Genomic DNA, 20340 nt, shown 5'->3' with positions numbered 1-20340 from the left:
TCTGATTCTAATGATACACAAGTACTTGTTATTCCTGTTATATACATAACATTCACAAATAAGGCAACAATAAGGTAAGATAGGCAATGATCTTTTATGAAATTATATGCTAATATATATAATTATGTTCTTAATATGTAAAAACATGCACCAAATGTTTTAAATAAATGGAATACAAGGATAAGCAAACAGCATTTCATATTTTCAAATTCTGATAGCTATCAGATCTTGCATAGAATTATTTTGATTGTGCATTGCATTATTTCTTATTTCAATGTCTTAGTCAAAGACTAGAAAGGACATTAAGTATAAAGCAAGTATGATTGAAGTCCTCTGATTCATAGAATGTTCTACCCTGAGAGTAGAAAGGCTAATAATTCTGCTAAAACAATAAAAAAGGCAAATGCATCAAAGAGAAGTGCTTAGGAAGTTCTTGAAGTTAGTATTCCTTGTGGCTAGAGAAGCAAAGAGTAAAAAGACATTGTCCTTTAAAACCCTGTCCTTGTTGCCCAATCATAGAGATAGTCAAGCTGTCAAAGACCAAAGCATATCCAAGGCTGGACATGGAAATATTCATGCTGATTTCAGTAATAGCCTTTTATGAAATTAATTGAGAGATTTACTTTTCCAGACACTTTCAAACAAGCTGGACTGTAGTCAATGGGTAGCATTGATATGGCATAGTGGTTGGTTTTAAAAAAACAAACCAGGCTGGGCACGGTGGCTCACCCTTGTAATCCCAGCACTTTGGGAGGCTAAAGTGGGCAGATCACCTGAGTTCAGGAGTTCAAGACCAGCCTGGCCAACATGGTGAAACCCCGTCTCTACTAAAAATACAAAAATTAGCCAGGTTTGGTGGCGGAAGCCTGATTTAGGGTATCTGGTGGAAGCTACTTGGGAGCTTCCAGCTACTTGGGAGGCTGAGGCAGGAGAATCACTTGAACCCGGGAGGTGGAAGTTGCAGTGAGCTGGGATCACGCCACTGCACTCGAGCCTGGGTGACAGAGCCAGACTCCATCTCAAAAAAAACAAAAACAAAAAAACCTGACTGTAGCCCATTGAATATTCTTTGAGAAGAAGCAATTATATGATTGTGGCTCATTCATTGTGGCATTATGGCAAAGCCATAGCTCAAAAAAAAATTCCTTATTTACCCATTTACTAAAGATAACACCAGGTTCTGTCTTCTTAGCACCAGTTAATGATGTTCTAGTTAATTTGTAACTTGCACAGTATCTGTTCATGCTATTGCTGCCAAACATATTGCAGATCAAGGAGCCTGTTATGCAACTGTGAATAAGAATCTTAGGCCACTTCACACTGTTTCATCTTGTCAATTGGGAGTTTTGTTTGGTTCAGCATGTGTGTGTGTATGTTTTTGTTTTTGTTTTTGTTTTGAGACAGGGTCTTACTCTGTCACCCAGACTGGAATGCAGTGACAAGATAATGGCTTACTGCAGCCTCAACCTCCCAGGCTCAAGCAATCCTCTGGTTGAGCCTACGAAGTAGCTGGTACCACAGGTGTGTACCACCATGCCTGGATATTTTTAAATTAGTTTTGTAGAGACAGGGGTTTATCTATGTTGCCCAGACTGGTCTCAAACTCCTGGCCTCATATGATCTCTTGTCCTCAGTTCCCCAAAGTGTGGGGATTACAGGAGTGAGCCACCATGCCTGGCCTTAAATTCTGATGGCTTTTAGGCAAACAAGTAATGTACTATGTATATCCCTTTTTCAAAATGTATTATGAGTTCTGTAGCTTATAATTGCTTCCTGTGTGCATATATGCTTTGTGGAGGATTGGAGAAAACATCAGTATAACAAGCAGTTCACTTGTTTCTCGAAATGCTGTGCTGGTGAATTAGTCACTCTGTTCTACTCTTCAGGTTTTTTGTGTGTGTGTCTGCCATTGAGGAGTATAAAACTTTTTTCAAAGTCGTTTACATTTGGCTTTGGCAAGGGTTTTAATTGTTCATTGGAGAGTATCTGTAACCTGAAAATTCTTGAGACACGGTAACCACAGAGTTAATATGTGACTCACAAAAGGCTGGAAACTGCCTACTTTTTCCATCCTGTCCCTCTCATCAGTTTTGCTTCCACTTTATTCTGGGAGTTAATTTTTATCAACCTTCACACAGAAGTACTATTTGTTTGTTCATATATGCAAGGGAAATTATTTTTATTCCTAAAGCATTTCTCCCTCTTAAAATCCTGGATTAGATTAAGCAAATATCCCGTTTATGTAAATAAATCATTTAATTAAGCAGAATAGGTAAGGATGTCAGAAATAATAAAACAGATGATTTGTCAGAAATAAACTGTAGGGCATATGATCCTTTGAAGATAATTGAAAATTCACTATTTAAAAATATGAATTAAAAAATATATAGAACTTGATGAGTTACAGTTACATACATTACTATGCTATTCGTATTTCGGAAATTGAAACTCAGAAACAAAAGCAGTGCTCTAGTTTGTCATTCCTTATCAGTGAAGTGTGGAATAGTGGAATCTTCATGGGGAATTTCTGTAGGCACGAAAAATCTAGAAAACAAAGGCTGTGGAGGAGGCTGCCTCAGTCATTCTAATTGATGTCGTACAGCAGGACTACTCTTGGGTAACATCTCTGTTGTGCCCAAGGTTATGGAGATTTTCTTGCAGTCATAGGAAGAAGCTCAGGTTATGATCAACCTGGGGAGAAATGATTATACTCCTTCCTTAGATAGCAGAGAAGTTTGAGGTGTACTAGAAGTGTGGGGTTATTTACACAGTGAGCTAAGAGTAGTGATAAGAAATTTTATGTTCAGGACTGCTTTCTTATCCTATTGAACGTCAGTCTCATCCCCCTTAGTGACTTTATAGCTTGCTAGCTATCACATTCCATGTTATTCCCCTTATGTCTGTTAATGTCATTTCCAGTGCTATCCTTCTAGCCTATCCCTTTTTAAAAAATGTGTCTTATTCTCTGTCCTGGCTCCTGGACACTCATATCGCAATATAGGAAAGCCTAATAGGTAGAAATTCAAATCACAGAAAAGTTCAGAATAAATGAGCTTTATTTGGGTACAAAAGGCAAAATAGAGATACTGACTTTTTTTTTTTTTTTAACAAAAGGTCAAATTGCTTCCTTTAAAGAGCATCCTCCATTCACACCTCAGTACCACTGATTTCTTTCCAACACAGTGTTCCTGGAGCATTTTTAAATCATTGAGTGGGTTTTGCCATAAAGCTTACATTTGCCACTTGCCTTCCACAGGCCAGAGCTGCTTTTTTAAGCAGGAAAGGAAAAGGACACTGCCACTTCATATGACAGAATCAAGTAACTTGTAAATTGGAATGCATTTTTTTTTTGGTTCGCAATTTCCCCAAATTTTAAATAAATCAGTGTGCTCCTTCCCTTTACATAAATGATTTTTGTGAGAAACAAGAAGCTGTTCTAAGAATAACATTCAAAATTTCTTTAAGAAAATTCAAACCTTGCTTCCAAAACAGGCCTATGGTGAGATCGTACCAACCATTACAGGATAAGATTACAAAGAGAAAATTATTTTTATTCCATTCTGAGGGGATGTCTATTAAAGTAGCGCATAATTTCCAGAGCAGTTCTCTTGAGATTAACTTTTTTTTTTTAATGGCAAAATGAAGCAATGTAACATAATGCAAATCACACTACCATTACAAAAAGGAAATTAAAGTTGGGAGAATCTGTCAAAATATTATGAAAGTTGAGGAGTTAAAGTTTATTGCTTTATTTTTAGAATTTGCAAAGGTGTTCCACTGCAGAAATGCCTCTGGGCATTTGTAAAATGGGAGGGACATGAAAAGAGCAGTCCCTACTCAAATGGCTGTGTGTTAATTGAGCTCTTTGCCCCGCCCCCCTTCTCTTTTATCCTGCTCCCTCCTTACCCTGAAATCCCTAGTATTTCTAGATCCACAGCCAGTTTGTGTCTTAATGGGCTTTGTGATTTCAGAAGTTTCCTTCGACATAAGCTCTTCGGCATACTAATTGTTTCTCATGGAGAAACTATACTGTGTTTCATTCCAAGCCCTTCTTCACTTTACTGTAGAGTTTGCATTAAAGTTTCAGAAATACAATCAAGCTCTCTCTACATTTAGGGAAAGGAAATAAAGCACTTGCCTCAATTACATTTGTCAACAATTTCCTTTTCTGAATATGCTATGACAGAGTTTATGATATTATAGAATTATGTTTCCCCTTTAACCTTTCAGTCAAACTGTTGATACCAGTTTCTTTAAAAAATATATAATTAGTGCTATCATCCAGTTTTTTGTTTGCTTCGCCTATGGCATCAGAGAGGAATGAGTTAATCCATTTGAAAAAATTGTTTTAAGTTAAGCTGAAGTTTTTTTAGCCACCACTTTCCTTCTCTCCCATGTTGATTACTGAAGCCGGATTATAATTGATACATTAAATGTAAAATATTGAGGCGATAATATATAGAACGTTTATGGTTTTAGCAGTTGGAGGTTTCTGGATTGAATTTGAATGCACAAGCAGAGTTTGAGCTACCGTGACCTTGTTACTACCTGCATTTGTACAGGAATCCTTCATGATCTAGATTGACAAGCAGTGAATCTCTACTTTCAAGTTCAATAAGCCTCTCTTTTATTGTTTTTTAAAATACATATTTAATTTTAAATTTTCCTATAGATAACAGAGACTCCAATTAATTTTACAAGTTATTGCTGCTTTCTGAGATTATAATAGATGTGAGCTGTTATAAGCTAAAATGAGCCCTCATATTTAAGTGGATTTTGTAAATGAGAGCCCAGCATTTCTGTCATATTCAGTTCTTATGGATAAAATGAAAGATCATACTTTTGCACAGAAATTAGGTCTGCTCTAGGATAATAGTGCAGTGATTCAGTTCCTTCTCAAGTGTTCAGACTTAATAATATTACCTAGGACAGTATATGTATCTTTTCAATGGATAGACCAATGGGTGTATTTAAGAGAATTTTATAGGTCAATGAACGTACATAAGAGAATACAACAGACTTACTTATTTTTTATATAAATTTAAGGCCTGGGAACTTCAAGTACTTAAAATTCAAAGCTCTGTCCCTAGTGTTTTGGAATTTCTCTTTACTACCTAAAATGTTGCCTTTGATGTTTCCTGTTGGCCAAGGCAGAGAGTGAAATGTAATATAAAGCTTTATATGAAAAATTGTAATAATATGTTTAAGGACACATTTTTGATGCTAGAACTATGTGGAATTGATTTCTAAAAGCATTGGGAATTTCTTCCTAAAACTCGGAGTAATGCTTTTTGAAATATTACCCTGATTCACCAACAAAACAGCAATTATAATAGAATACATTGTAAAGATTTTTAATTTTCCGTTTGTGTTCTCGTGTCCTTTGGTGGTTAAGTATTTAAAATCCCAACTCTGAAGTGAAATTGAAATGTTCTTAAGAAATCTGTTGTTACAAAGTCTAGGGTGGGAGAGAATAATTACACATAGCTTTTTGATAAACAATCTAAATTGTGCTTCAAAGGACAGATGTGGCTTTAATAATCTGAAGCATTTGCATTTTCAGATTAAACTTTGCTTGATTGCGTTGTACTTGATATGTATACTTAAATCTATATGTTAAATGTTATACTTTGATATAGCACATCTTGTTTGACTTTGTTCCTATGATCTGACAAGCTTCATTATATAATAACCTAGTTTAAATAAATCTTAAAGACATAAAAGTGTTCCTGACAGTAAGAAAAAATTTAAGGCACACAAATGATGTATCGGTTAGATGTTCCAGAGAGAGTCGAAGTTTTTTCATTCAAATCTTTGAACATGTGTTTTGAATAAAGCTGTAAGGCATTTTCCAGTAACCAGTGTTGTATTACAAAAATGAGTAAAGTAAAACAAAAGGAAAACATGTTTCAACATTTTATTCAGTTTTGTCACATATTGTTGCACATTTCCTACTGGAAGTAAATGTGACATTTGTAATGCTAAGTTTTCAAACCTAACCTTTTCTATGATATAAAAAATGACATAGAATATTGTGCCCTTGTGAGACAAGCACAAATAATGAACTACACTCTCAGACTTCAGACAGTTTCCTAAATAGTTTGAGTGCAATAGTTTGATGTAAGTCCATCATTATAGTTTCTGAATTTTCTCTACTGAATTCTATCCAGGAATAAGCAACGATAAACAGGTCACAGAACACTTGATCCAATGGCCTACCATTGTATAAAATCAAACAGGGAAATAATATCACTCTAGTTATACTGATTGCCAGGGTGGACAAAGCAGTTGGATAAAATAATATTTCAGTGCAATGAAAAGCAAGAAATTTACTTAAAAGTAGGAAAATCTGTGCTCTATTACTAGGCTTTCACTGTTTTATTTATTGGAAATTAATTAGCTGACTTTGAAATGCAAAAAAAAATCAAGACAGCTATTTGGTGATTTTGTTTTTTTATAATAAACAACAGCTAAGTACTAACTACTAAGAGGTAAGAATGTGAAGCACTGAGCATGTGCAAGCAATTTCAATATTTAAAGTGGGAATTGGGGAGAGAGATATTTCACATTAAGCTATAAACTACTTTGTAGGAAGATGGATGTAATTTATTTCAGTGTTATATTAGTTATTTTATATTATATATTTTATTAAAATACTAGCTTTGAAACAAATCTAAAACATGTACTTTATAAGCTGTGGTTAACACTACATTTCTACTAAGGAAAGGTGTGCCCTCTGAAATAAGGAAAACTGAAATTTCATATGCAAGCTGGGAGCATTCTCTTTCAAAATATTAATTTATTAAATTATTTTTAAATTTAAATTTGTTTTAAAATTAAAAATTGTTGAATACTTGAGAGCTGAAATCAATGAAATACTTGAAATAACCTGCTCCTTTAGCAAAGTAGTTATTTCTTCAATGAGGGTTTCCATGTTGACCGGTCATGGATGGATATTTGGTTTCATACACTCACTGAGTGTGGTCAGCAGCTGGGCAGACTCCCATGCACCACTCCATGAGGTCCCCAAATCTGACCTCTCAGGTTAGGTATATTTACATGAATTCTGTCATTGTTGTGTCTAGGAATTTAGACAGACAGAATTTATGAGGAGAGTGGCAAAAGACATTGCATTTTATTTCATTCTTTCTCTGAGGATAAAATAAATATCTCAGAAAAGGGTGAACATTTCTTTTCTTCAGTTTTCAAATTGCTTATACTAAATTTAATTTTTATGTACAGGCTTTGTTTTTAGGAGAGCTTATGTTCAGTACACCTAAGAGGAATCGTAGTCACGGAATAAGTTTCCACCTAAGCTCTGTGACGTGATTCATGATTCATTCCCTACCTTGATAGATTTATGAATACTTCTAAGTGAACCTATCTCAGCAGCCAAATGGAAGTGTTAATATCATGAATGCATTTATTCAAACACTTTTTCAGCTCTCACAAAGTTTTGTTATAAAGACGATTTTATTTCCTCTCACAGCAACATACAGAAGGAGCAGCTGTTATTGCCCTTAGTTTACAGATGAGAAAGTTGAGACTTAAAGCCATTAAGAATTTTGTGGTAGCAAAGAAGGATCCTGTATTTGGTAAATTTGGGTGTAATTATGAGTTTAATGTATGCCTTTTTGGCAGTATCCTTTCTGGCTTCATCATGCTATATCCCCATTGTCCACAACATTGACTGGTGCTTAGTAAGGTGCTCAAGGACGCATCAAATGAATGAACAAAGACTAGAGACAGAGTTGCCTGGCCTTATTCTTTAAATACCCACACTATAGGACTGCAACAAAATACAGAGCCCTAGTGATTAGAAGACTTCAAAAGTGTGTTTTCTTTTTCCAGGTGCATGCCTTTGATTTCTTGAGATGATGAAAAAAAAAAAAAAAAGAGAGAGAGAGAGAGAGAAAAGAAAAACAACAAAAACCTCTTTATTTTGTAAAGTTTTGTTTGTGGACCTAGAATTGAATAAAAGCCAACATTTGTCCTGCACTCATGTGTCGGATGTCCTCTAAGCATCTTACATTCATGAATTTGCTTAATTTGCACCATTCAATGAGGTAGATACCATTGTCATCTCCATTTTATACATTAGAAAGCTAATATATGGGGGAGGTTAACTGGATTGCCCAGGGTCACAAAACAGCAAGAGTGGATCCAAGTAACTACTGCATTAGACTGCCCTTCGCTACACTATAAATTCTCAGTCTGTTGGTTTAAGCTATCGTATGAAGATGACTAGTCACAATGATTTTTCTGCCCCAGTAACTGATAGATTGTCTGCAAAGATCTCTTCACCATCTTTCCTGGGCACTGGAGTTGCTTGGGAGCTATCTTGTTCCTTGAGAGCCAGTTGTTATCACCCAGGGTATTGTTGAGACTTTGAGAGTAAGATCATATTTCCTCAGAATACCTTCATTATGAATTTCATTCATTTCTGGCCATAAGCCTTGCTCTGTTGACACAAGAATGATATACGTTAAATTTTGGTTAGTAGCTACCTGTTGGAAAGTAGAAAGATGAAAGGTGTTGAAGATAGGTAAACAGGAAGCTTCCACTCATTGGTTCTGGGTTTGGTTTGTTTGTACTTGTGTTGTTTGTTCTTTTTTTAAGGTTGGAATTTGTTAGATTTTACTTTCGTTATATTATTTTTATTTGTCTTCAAAATAATTCCCAATTTTAAAAATTTAAGGAAAGTAAAATAGAACTGGATGTATAGGCAATCAAAGACAGCCTTTAATCTTAGCTTGAAACAAAAATAGTCTGATTTTTACTCCTAGATGAGGTTTTTAGAAATTAGTTTCTCAATGTAGAACTCAGAAAGAAAACTTCATAATATGTTTCAACTTAAAAGGCCTTTAGAAACCAACTAAATTGAAGAAATCTGAGGCACAGAAATATTAATTGACTTAAGAGATGCCACAAACATAGTTAGTTCAGGTGTTCATTAGTTCAAGAAACCTTTATGGAATGCCTACCATGGGGAAGGAAATTTAGTTGTTGCTGGGGACACATGGGTGAATAAGACAGTTTCCACAAGGGATTCAGTGTCTTTAGAGGGAAGGCATCTAAGTAAACAGATAATTATAATGCAAACTATTGATTGCTTCAACAAAAGAGGTAATTGATGGTCTATCTATCTATCATTTGTCTATTACCTCTGTCAAATATCTACCTACTTGTGTGGGTATGTATGTATGTATGTATGTATGTATGTATGTATGTATCTGTCTATCTATCTATCTATCTATCTATCTATCTATCTATCTATCTATCTATCCTTGTCTATTTATCTTTCCATCTGTCATCTATCTACCCTTAAAACATACAAAGCAGTTAGCACAGTGCCTGGTACACAGAGAGTTCTTAATAAATAACATTTGTATGATGACTATTATTACCTACAATTCCCAGATTTTTCATTATATTGTATGACATGCAGAGGTGATTCTGCCAGACTACTTGTTAACCTTATCACTGTCATGTTTGTGAGACTGTGAAACCTTGCGTGAAGCTCTCAGGCAAAACTGTTAGTGACTATGCTATTGTGGGGCCTTGTAAATACTTCTGTAGCTATAGTTACTTGGCCATATTTTAATTATTTGTAACATAGTTGAGCTTGAACTGTGAGATAAATTCATTCTAATATGAGGCATTGTTTCTTATTCATGAGTATGCCCAAAGATTAGAATATAGTATGTGATCAATACATGGTTGGCTGTTGCTTGAATGAATGCATGCTACAAAGGTTTTGGCAAGGAGGAAAGTTTGGTTAGTCGTCCAAACTACTTCTTAGACGTTTGATTAAAGAAAAGCAGTTCTGAGTCTTAATTGAATCGCATGGTCTTGGTTATAAGGCTTCACTCTAAGAAAAAAACAGTTAAGTTTCTAGATCATGTCAGTGACTGCTTTTATGATTTCACTTCAGATCTGATGCCACTGTAATCTAGTTGCAAAATTTTGCCCTAAAATTATTTTATTATTTTTGTAAGTATAATTTTCAATACATTTATTATCTGAAAATAAAAATAAAATATTTATCTATTATTCAGGGGTTTTATAAATCCCAAGATTATATAGGAAAAAAACCCTGATTTTTTGTTTTAACTCCAGAGAAACTTGATGTTAGGATTCAAATATCAATCTTAATCTGATATATGGGCTTTTCATTAAACTTTAAATAAGCTATCAGATTTTTAATGTGGGGTGTGTGTGTGTGTGTGACTTGATGTACTGGGTAAACTAAAATACTAACATTTCAGAAAAAGAAAACTTTTTCAGTCTGCAATCTGGGTAATAAATTTTACTGAGCAGGTGATTGTGTTACAGGATGGATTATTTGAAACTCATTTATTAATATACTGAACATTTATTGAACACTATGTGTAAGTCACTATTTTGGCACTTGAGATATATCAGTAACAAAAAAGAGAGAGATTCCTCCCTAAGCAATGTCTTTCTGGTAACTTAATAGTAAGCCTGAAAACAATTAATCTTTAATGAGCAGTTAATATTGTCCTTGACAAGAATTCACTAGTGTGTTATCGAAGTATATTATTATATATGTATTACATACATAATTTCATATTACATATGTATCATTTTAAACAATGTTATTATGTGTTGGGCCAACCTTTTGGACAATTTTCCTTTACTCCACTGGTCTACAAAAAAGACTTAGATATCCATTTGTATAACTCAACATTCTGGCAAAATCCAAGCTTGAGAGACATGTGGATAACTTCAGTGGTCTGAATTTGATTATGTTCTACATATGGGAAACAATCAGAGTAATGTATAGGGATTTCATAGTGTAACTAACTACATTAAAAGAAATGAGAACTCTGCACACCTAAGCACATGTTCACAATTTAAAAATTCAGGCAGGCAGTTCCACTTAAAAGATCACTAAATCAGCAGTCTAATAGTCTTTAGGGATCATCGTTTTATTATCTCACTAACTTTCTCATTTAACTTTGTCATTCTACAAACCTGAAAATTACTCAATTTTCTCAGCCTCATGTGATTCTGGTGATATCCTTCCTGTTTCAAGAGTGGCTCAAAACTTAGGTAAATGAGGAGCTATCTTAGAAATATCAACAATTGGAACTTCAGAAAATGTAAGATAGTGCACTGCAAGCTGTCTTTAAATATGACTTGGTTAAAAAAGAAAAGGTAACATCATTATTATTATTATTATTATTATTTGAGACAGAGTCTTGCTCTGTTGCCTGGGCTGGAGTGCAGTGGCGCGATCTCTGCTCACTGCAAGCTCCGCCTCCCGGGTTCACACCATTCTTCTGTAGCTGGGATTTACAGGCACCTGCCTCCATGCCAAGCTAATTTTTTTGTATTTTTAGTAGAGACGGGGTTTCACCGTGTTAGCCAGGATGGTCTTGATCTCCTGACCTCGTGATCTGCCTGCCTTGGCCTCCCAAAGTGCTGGGATTACAGGCATGAGCCACCACGCCTGGCTAAGAAAAGGTAACTTTTACAACCTCCAAGACGTGAACAAAATTTATTTTTTTTAGTTAAAAGTTATTGTGGATAGTTATTTTGGAAAGACAAAATAGCTATTTAATCATATATGCAATGAGTGATTTTTTGAAGTCTTGATCTTAAGAATTTCAAAATGTACTGCAGAATATTAACTTGGATGCAAATAAATGAAAGCTAATTACAACAAATATTTTCAGTTTTGTTTTCCTATTGAAGCAGAAAGACACAGAAGAACACAATTCTGAGCCTTCTCTATGAACACGGCATGCCCCAGTGGTTTATTCATGGAATACAGTAGCCTGCCATGCTGATTCTGTGTTCTGTGTTAATACATTTCCCTGGTGCTGGACGCCATACTAGCAGGTGCTGCCTACATGTTTGGTAAACAAATCATTACACTTGTTCTCAGTCACATCTGCTTGATTTTCTTAAAAGGGGATTGTTACATTTAAAGTATAGCAAAATTATTCACAGAATCATAGCCCATTGAGACTAAAAGGGCCATCAGTAGGATGCATCCAAACCTGTCTTTTTACAAATGAGACCCACAGAAGTCGCCCTGAATGACACCACAGCTGCTCGCAGGACCTGGACTTTGTCCATTTGATTTAATTGGTCACTTCAAATTGTTATTAATTATATGATTCAGTATGTTTATGTCTATTAAGATGATTAAAAGGATGGCATGTCCTTTAAACTTGACTAAATACTCACTTAAGAGAGATTTAGATTCATATATACCATACCCCATTTACAAAACAGTTTTTCTGAGCAGCTCAATGGTGCCTCTATTTTGGGAACACCATAAACAATCTAAGAACACAACCTCCTGTGAGTCATTCTGTTATCTACCAAATCGTATCCCTCGGGAATCCCATCTTTGACTGCCCGCTTCCATTTCCTCACATGCAGTCATTGGAAGTCAGGATTGAAAAGGAACTTAAAAGTCATATGCAAGTGTCAAAATTTCTCTTGAATTCGACCCCCCTCCCTCATTTTGGCCTTTTCATTGTCCCTGCTTAGTCATCAGAACCTCATAGACTTCTTAAAGGGACTGCAATTTTTACTTCTCCAATTTATATTCCACACTTCCTGCAGATGTCTACACCTAACACACAGACAGAATATCCAACTCAAAACTCATTAATTTCTCTCCTCACTTAAAGCAGTTAATACCAGCTTTCTTGCTGTGCCAGTCAGCACACCTGCCCACCCACCTAGGTGCCCATCTTACTGTTCCTCCAGCTCTGCCAATCACTAAATTCATCTTGTCACCATTTCCACCTTTGTAAATGTTGAATTGGGTCCAGCGTTAGTGGTCGTTTAGGATTTTGTTTTTGTTTTGCTTTTTTAACCTTTAAAGTAAAGCTACCTATATTTTTTAATTTATTATTTTTTATTGTGGTGAAATACACATCACATAAAATGTACCATTTTAATTTTGAAGTGTACAACTCAGTGGTATGAAATACATTCCTAATGTTGTGCAACCATCACCACCATCCATCTCCAGAACTCTGATCTTCTAAAACTGAAACTCTGAACCCATTAAACAATAACTCCCCATTCCCTCCTCCCTTCAGCACCTGAAAACCACCCTTCTTCTCTATCTCTATGATTTTGACTACTCTAACTACCTCATATAAGTGGAATCCTATATACTTGTCTTTCTGTGACTGCCTTATTTCACTTAACATAATGATGTCCTCAAGGTTCATCCATGTTGTAGCGTATGTTGGATATTTTTTCATTTTTAAGGCTGTATAATATTCTATTGTATGTATATACCATATTTTGCTTATTCATCTTTGGACAGACAACGCTTCCTATACTTTTTCTAATCAGTCTAAATTAACCACTTCTTTTTATCAAAACTGTTTTTGGTGCACACCACACTTTCTTTCGTTGTGGCTCTGATAGGATAATTATATTTTATGCATTCTTTTTTCTAAACCACATCATTTGAATGGAGCATTTTGTACCTCACTTGACTATAAACAAAAAATGTTGTCTAATTTGTTCCCTGCCCTGTCCTTAGCTCATAGGCCCTCAGGAAGCAGTTATTAAATGAGCAAATTAGTTTTCTCATTAGTGGAAGCTGGATTGCACAGATTTGAACAACACAATTCTTGAAAATATATATTTCTATATATTTTATAATTAGGATTTTGCTAAGTCATTCTCTTTAGCAAATTTCTTAATAAATTTTGAACCCCAGATGGTCTAAAATGGTGAGGATTTTATCATATCAAAAAAAGAAGAAGCATGCCTATACATGTTCCTTTATGTTTTTGGGGGGGAGTAAAATAGAAAAGCCATATATTTTCTTAGTATTTCTTTATGTATTTCTTTATGGTTTGCTTGTACATAAATATACTGAGAAATAGTCCAGAAATTTTTCCAATGTACAAGTCTTAAGGTGATCTTTGCCAAAGTGAGTAGTTGGTACAAGATGTTAAATTCACTTAATTTCTAAAGTATATTTATTCTGTTACTTAATCCTTGGGTCCTATAATAGTAACATTATATCATGTAAAATCGATATTATATATAGAAGATATATCTTAAAAGTTAGCAATATTTTATATGTTAATTTTTTAGTGTACAATTCAGGTTGCAGGTCAGAGTAAGAATTGAGGAAAAAAAGCAATGTCAAATCTGAATCATCAAGAAAGAAAGGGGCTAAAAATTCCAAAGCAGTAGGGAACACCCAGAGAATTTAAAGCAAATAATTCAGGGTCACGTAACATAGAATAGGATGTATACAGAGGTTCTTGACACGTTGCGTAATTTACCTAATTTTTACTTCTCCACTTTATATTCCACACTTCGTTGCACAGGATACCTAATAGAAAAAAACTGCAATTATTTATAAAAATACTTTATCTATATTTTGTATGTTGTATAAGAAAGTATTTTCTTCTTTTAGAAAGAAGCCATGGCCAGGCACCGTGGCTCACACCTATCACACCTGTAATCCCAGCACTTTGGGAGGCCTAGGCGGGCGGATCATGAGGTCAGGAGATCGAGACCATCCTGGCTAACACGGTGAAACCCTGTCTCTACTAAAAATACAAAAAATTAGCTGGGCATAGTGGCGGGCGCCTGTAGTCCCAGCTACTTGGGAGGCTGAGGCAGGAGAATGGTGTGAACCCAGGAGGTGGAGCTTGCAGTGAGCTGAGATCACACCACTGCACTCCAGCCTGGGCGACAGAGCAAGACTCCACAAGACTCTGTCTCAAAAAAAAAAAAAAAAAGAAAGAAAGAAAGAAAGAAAAAGAAAAAAGCCATATGGCATAGAAAAAAAAAATTCTGTCTTTGGAGGAAAAAGGAAAAAAGTCCCAGGTTTGAAGCCAGTTGTGGCCTCTTACTAGGTATATTATTGAGTCTTTCAGCTCTGTTTCAAAATCTAGAAAATGAGTTCAGTATTACCTGTTTAAATTTGTGAATAACGCATTGATGTACACCCTGGATTCCCTAAAACTGTCTTAACTGCGTGAGTCCAGTGGACTCAGTGCATGAGTCTAAATCCTTAGACTTCTATCAGACCTTCTCCCCTAGCAGTTTCATTTGCTCTTTAAATACAAACATTGGACACTCATGCAGAACCACAGAAATCATGTAGACAAACTAGAAATTATCGTGCACTCACAAATTATAGCTTCCATTATTAGGTAATACATGCTAAACCCTAGCAAACATTAAGTACGTGAACTCCTATTACTAAATAGTAATCACTCAAGTAAACTGGACAAAATGTCTTACGGAGGTACACATCTCATGTGAAATTAAACCATGTTGCAGGCAGTGCTACAACCTGAGATTTTACACAGTTATTTACATTTCTTTTGCCTTTGTGGCAATATGTGCCTGTTAAGATAGGCTATTAGAGAACTGAGCAATGAGAACACTTACACCTTAAAGTACAAGGAAGGTAATGTGACAATATCAGCAGATATTTTGCATTATTTAGTTAGTAATGAATCCTCAAACTCTTTGAAAACACAAAGGAACTTGGGCAGCAAGTGAGGGTGTTTAATTTAATCAGAATATCACAGAAGTTTATAAAAAGAAAAACAAAATCCACATGGTATCTGGAAGCCTAAGGCTTACAGAGACCTCACATATATCTCTGTCAACAATCTAGTAATGAATTACTATGAAAAATTTGAGGAATGGGAATACATTTTAAAAGTTTACAGAGTTTTAAAATGAAACCTTTGTACCATGAAAAATTTACATTTCATGCATTGTAACAATTTTTGGAAAGCAGGATCTTTTAATGTACTTATATTCTGTTATATAGAGCTCTTTGTTGAAAGAGCTCTATATTTCAAAATAATTCTATGAATTTCATGAAAATGACATAATAAAATTTAACTCAGCAGGCTTCCAACCAATAGAGTGTTATAGGATTTACAAATAATTCAATCCATCATATATAGTGATAATAATATCACTGTTGGCTACATCAGATTGAGATTAATCAAGCATCAGTATCTTTGGCTCAGAGGAAAAAAATTAAGTAATAGAGCATTCTATCATTGCAGTAGTGTGAATGCTGATGAAAGAAATAGTGGTTCAAATTCTCTTGTGGAATTAAATATGTCAAAACAACTTATACATAGTGGAGCTTATTTTGCTTAAAAGCCAAAAAACTTGAAAAGCTTTAAAAGACAAACAATCATAGCATGGAAGTACAGTAGTACAAGTAGGATAATTCAAAACATTACCAGAAAACTATTTGAATTTTCTTAGGCTAGCCTATTTGAATGGCTGTATCCAGGGTGATACTCAAAATACGGTATTGAATAGCCAGCATGGAGGACACTGATGGCCCCAACAAGACATACTGTGAGGTATGTCTCAGGCTAGCATAAATGTGCACATACACTGTAAAATTGTGGGGTGTAGGGAGGTTAAAAAGTAGATAAGTAGACCCCACTACCCTATAATTTCCAGGGCACCATCATAGAGTTGCCGACCTGGGGATGAAACTCAGGCATTTATCTACTTTTTGAAAGCAGCCAAGTGGAGACTAATAAATAGGAGTGTGGAGACCACTAGATTAAACAACCTATTTCAGCTTCACTGAAGTTGAATGACCACATGAATACATTTCCTTACAAGTAAAGTTTTCTCTCATCCAAAGGCTTCAAGTGTGTCACCGTGGGCAAGACCAAATGTATACACCACAACAAAATTTTATCTGTGTCAACAGCAATTTGTACATTTTATATACTCTAATTCATCCAAATCAATTGCCTGATTACAGTTTGGGTACTTTAGAAGTGGATAGTCTTATAACTGGTGCTGCAGTAGATGCATGACTCTTTGAAGGTGTTTCGGAAACCATGTTCATTTTCATGAGTTTCTCTAGTAGTTATTGCTGATAGATTTAAGTGGCTTTCCCAGGATGTCAAGACAACAATGTGTTTCACATTTTGAGCTTGTTTTCATCTTTATCTGAGACATGTGATGAACTGTCTGAAGGCAGGTGGAGAACAGGTACACTGAGATATCTACACATACATATGCAAACACACACATACTCACATGTACACACTCGTGCAAATGCATACACTTCTGTTAGCACATTGAGACATGGATTCACTATTGTGGACAGAATTTTGTTTGCATGATTGTGTACATATGTTTGTCAGTAAACGCTCAGCTGACTCTATCCAACTTTAGGTTTAAAAATATTGGAGATGGGCTGGGCGCGGTGGCTCACACCTGTAATCCCAGCACTTTGGGAGGCCGAGGAGGGCAGATCACAAGGTCAGAAGTTCAAGACCAGCCCGGCCAAGATGGTGAAACCCCGTCTCTACTAAAAATACAAAAGGTAGCTGGATGTGGTGGTGGGCATCTGTAATCCCAGCTACTCTGGAGGCTGAGGCAGAGAATTGCTTGAACCCAGGAGGCGGAGGTTGCAGTGAGCCGAGATCGCGCCACTGTACTCCATCCTGGGCAACAGAGTGAGAACCCATCTCAAAAAAAAAAAAATTGAAAGTGGAGGACAAGCAAAATTATTTTATTACTATACTGTTTCACAAATGCTCACTGAGCTTTTTTGATTTTGCTCTGTTTGATATTAGCCTAGGTTAGTTAAAAATCTGTTTCCACATTGATATATCTAGAGCGTTATTAATGGTGATGCGACATTTTATATGTCAGGCTCTTGAAATGATTTAGGTAAAAGAGACATTCGTTTTCTCAGTTTCAACTAAAATGATAAATTCTTATGTTACATCTGTGCTCGAGGAAACACCACTAATGTCATCTCATTTATATAAATACTTGTCAGGTGACTGCCTAATTTTACAGGCATCTGAGTCTTATCCAAGCATCCCAAGGCTGCGGTACTTGGAAGTTCCTTTGTATTTCAGTTAATGGCATCAAACAAGCCTTTGCCCCGCTCTACAACAAAGCAGTTTGAACGTTATCACATCAAAGAGAAAGATGCCATTGTCTGCAAACTGTCTTATATCTGTCAGAATAAATCAATTATGGGACAGAATTAATTTGACATACCATTTCTTTCAAACAAGAGACCCCCCCATTTCCTTCTCAGAAATGTAAATATATAATACATAATATATTTTTTTTTGTTTGGTGAAAAGATACCAGTAAAATGATAACATCTGGCTGTAGCAAAACGCTGCCAGCTAAGGAATGGTTTCCTCTCTGCGGGTCTGACCAGAGTCTGATGTTGTGCAGATGTGCAGCCAGGCTTGACTGTAAAAGTTATAAACATTGTCATAACATTGTTCGACTTCTCTAGTATTTCCTGTCTTCTGCTTAGCACTTTATTACTAAGTCTGGCCAGCCGCCAAGTGAAATGCAGGGAGTTAGGGCCTCTGGCTTGAAATTTAAAACAAGTCCAGAATTCATTGGGTTTAATTTGATATGCGAACTCTGATAACTCACACTTGTTAAAATAAAGCCGCTTACCATTCAAGTTAGATTTACACAGCTTTGAGAGAACATAGGAGAAGAAGGGGAAAACACATTTTTCAAAACTTTAATATTGGCCTTTAGCGCTTAAGTTTTAGAAGTGGGGGTTGGGGAGGGAGTAGGAGTCGGAGTGGGGAACAGCTGATTCAGAAGCTGGACAGCTTACAGCAAACTTGTGTTCATTTCCTGTATTAGATGCAATTCCCTGGGCAGAGAATGGGCCTTTCTTTCAACACTTCTGAGCACGTTCTTTCTCTTGGCTCATTTTCAGATTAGGAAGGCCACATGAGGCTCATTGCCTATACATCATAACAAAATGGTGAGGTGAAAACAAACGAACGATACCCCACCAGGCTGATTTTTCTGCAAAGGGTATCTTGTGCCAGGGTTGAACAGAACGTCATTGAAGCACCAGCATAAAGACATGTTAACCCAATTTTTCCTGTAATGTATACATGATTGATTGGCAATTTTTGGACCACAGGCTGTGGTTAGGATTACATCAATCAGGAAGCAGTAACTCTTGAGGGACTTCCCTTAAATGATCTAGTGTTTATTGGCGAAAGGGGTTGCATTTTTTGCAGTCTGTTTCTTTCATGTGTTCATCAGTTCCATTCCTGTTTGAAATTTGGTATCAGTGCATGAGATAAGTCACTTTTCTTCCTTTTATATCCCCTTCTGTCATTTAAAATGCAAGATGATGAACCTAGCACAATGTCTGGTACGTAGAAAATACTCATTGAAAAAAAAAAGAGAGAATGAATGTTGAATGAATGAGGAATGAGTAGTGAATAAGAATACATTTGTGTGTATATAGCCACATTTGGATTTTCCGATATTCAGAAGTGGTAGGAACACAGCATGCCACACATTTAGCTATAGGGCGCCATTCTTTTAAGTAGAGCACTGCACATCTAATATAGCAATCAACATGAATATACAGGTTTTACCTTCTTTGCATTATTATATTATGTCACGTCATCTTTGTAAATAACATTAAAAGTAAAGATGTGAAGAAGAATAGGCAAGGGGAAGAATTTGCCGAATGCTAGGAGTCCTTGTTCACTCTAACCACCCTTTTGTACACTTTTGGGGTAACAGGAAAAATTTTATCTGTAATATGTGTAATATGTCATCAGAATTCTGATGGCTCTCTTTGTTGTTCTGTGGGTTTTCGTAATGGTCTCAAACATATATAACTTGTTATGTTCCCAAAAGGATGCATTATGGATCTATGAAATTTTTGTAAGGTGTGAACACTAAAACGCTGTCCCAAGGCTCTGCTGTTAATTTGTTTTTATTGAGGAAGAGGCAAGAATGAGGCACATGTGTGTGGAACCACTTTTCACTGCTGGGGTTTTTTTCATGTATATGTGGTGTTCAGGGATGTATGGGTGTCACATGAGTTACAGTTCCTAAATCTGGGGAAGAAAGAAGTTCCTGACGCAGACCTTCCCAGGCCACAAGATTCTAAATTTATAAAAAGGAGAGGTAGAAAAGAAAACCATGTGGACTGTTACTCCCAGTTCAGGGTTAAAAGTTTTTTTTTTTTAAAAAAAGAGTCAGCGCATTAGCTAGTGATTTCGTTTAAGTGGTCCTCACAAAATCATTGGCGCTTTATTGTATTATCTAATTTTTGGAAATGGAATGTAAGGCATTTGAAAGTTAAATAGCGTGAAGAATGAAAAGCATGTTCAAAGCATTTAAGATGGTCGGTGAGGCCTGTGCCATTCAGAGCAGCTCCTGCGGACACAGAAGGACTCTGAGTATGGACTGTCTAATCTCATTGGGTTTGGAATTCACTTTCTGGCTCCATATCACGATCAGAACAGATGTTTCCCAGGCTGCATAGGTGGGTGCAAGAAATAAATTTCAGAA

At 35.8% G+C, this 20340-nt stretch overlaps 1 protein-coding gene across 4 annotated transcripts in view, besides 1 other annotated feature; it reads left to right on the top strand.

Annotated features, from left to right (window-relative positions):
- The window catches only part of TRPS1 (transcriptional repressor GATA binding 1), a 260480-nt gene that overhangs the window by 198438 nt on the left and 41702 nt on the right, over positions 1-20340 (top strand). The gene's annotated exons all lie outside the window — the stretch shown is intronic.
- Positions 18118-18197: an enhancer, noted in NCBI's record as "active region_27821". NCBI's record gives its function as "activates an Ori minimal core promoter by ATAC-STARR-seq in GM12878 lymphoblastoid cells {active_cell/tissue: GM12878}" and the evidence as "EXISTENCE:reporter gene assay evidence [ECO:0000049][PMID:35858748]".

The sequence above is a fragment of the Homo sapiens genome, chromosome 8, assembly GCF_000001405.40.
Source record: "Homo sapiens chromosome 8, GRCh38.p14 Primary Assembly".
Lineage (NCBI taxonomy): Eukaryota > Metazoa > Chordata > Mammalia > Primates > Hominidae > Homo > Homo sapiens.
Note: the sequence above shows the minus strand (reverse complement) of the source record. Positions and strands in the feature narration are given on the sequence as shown.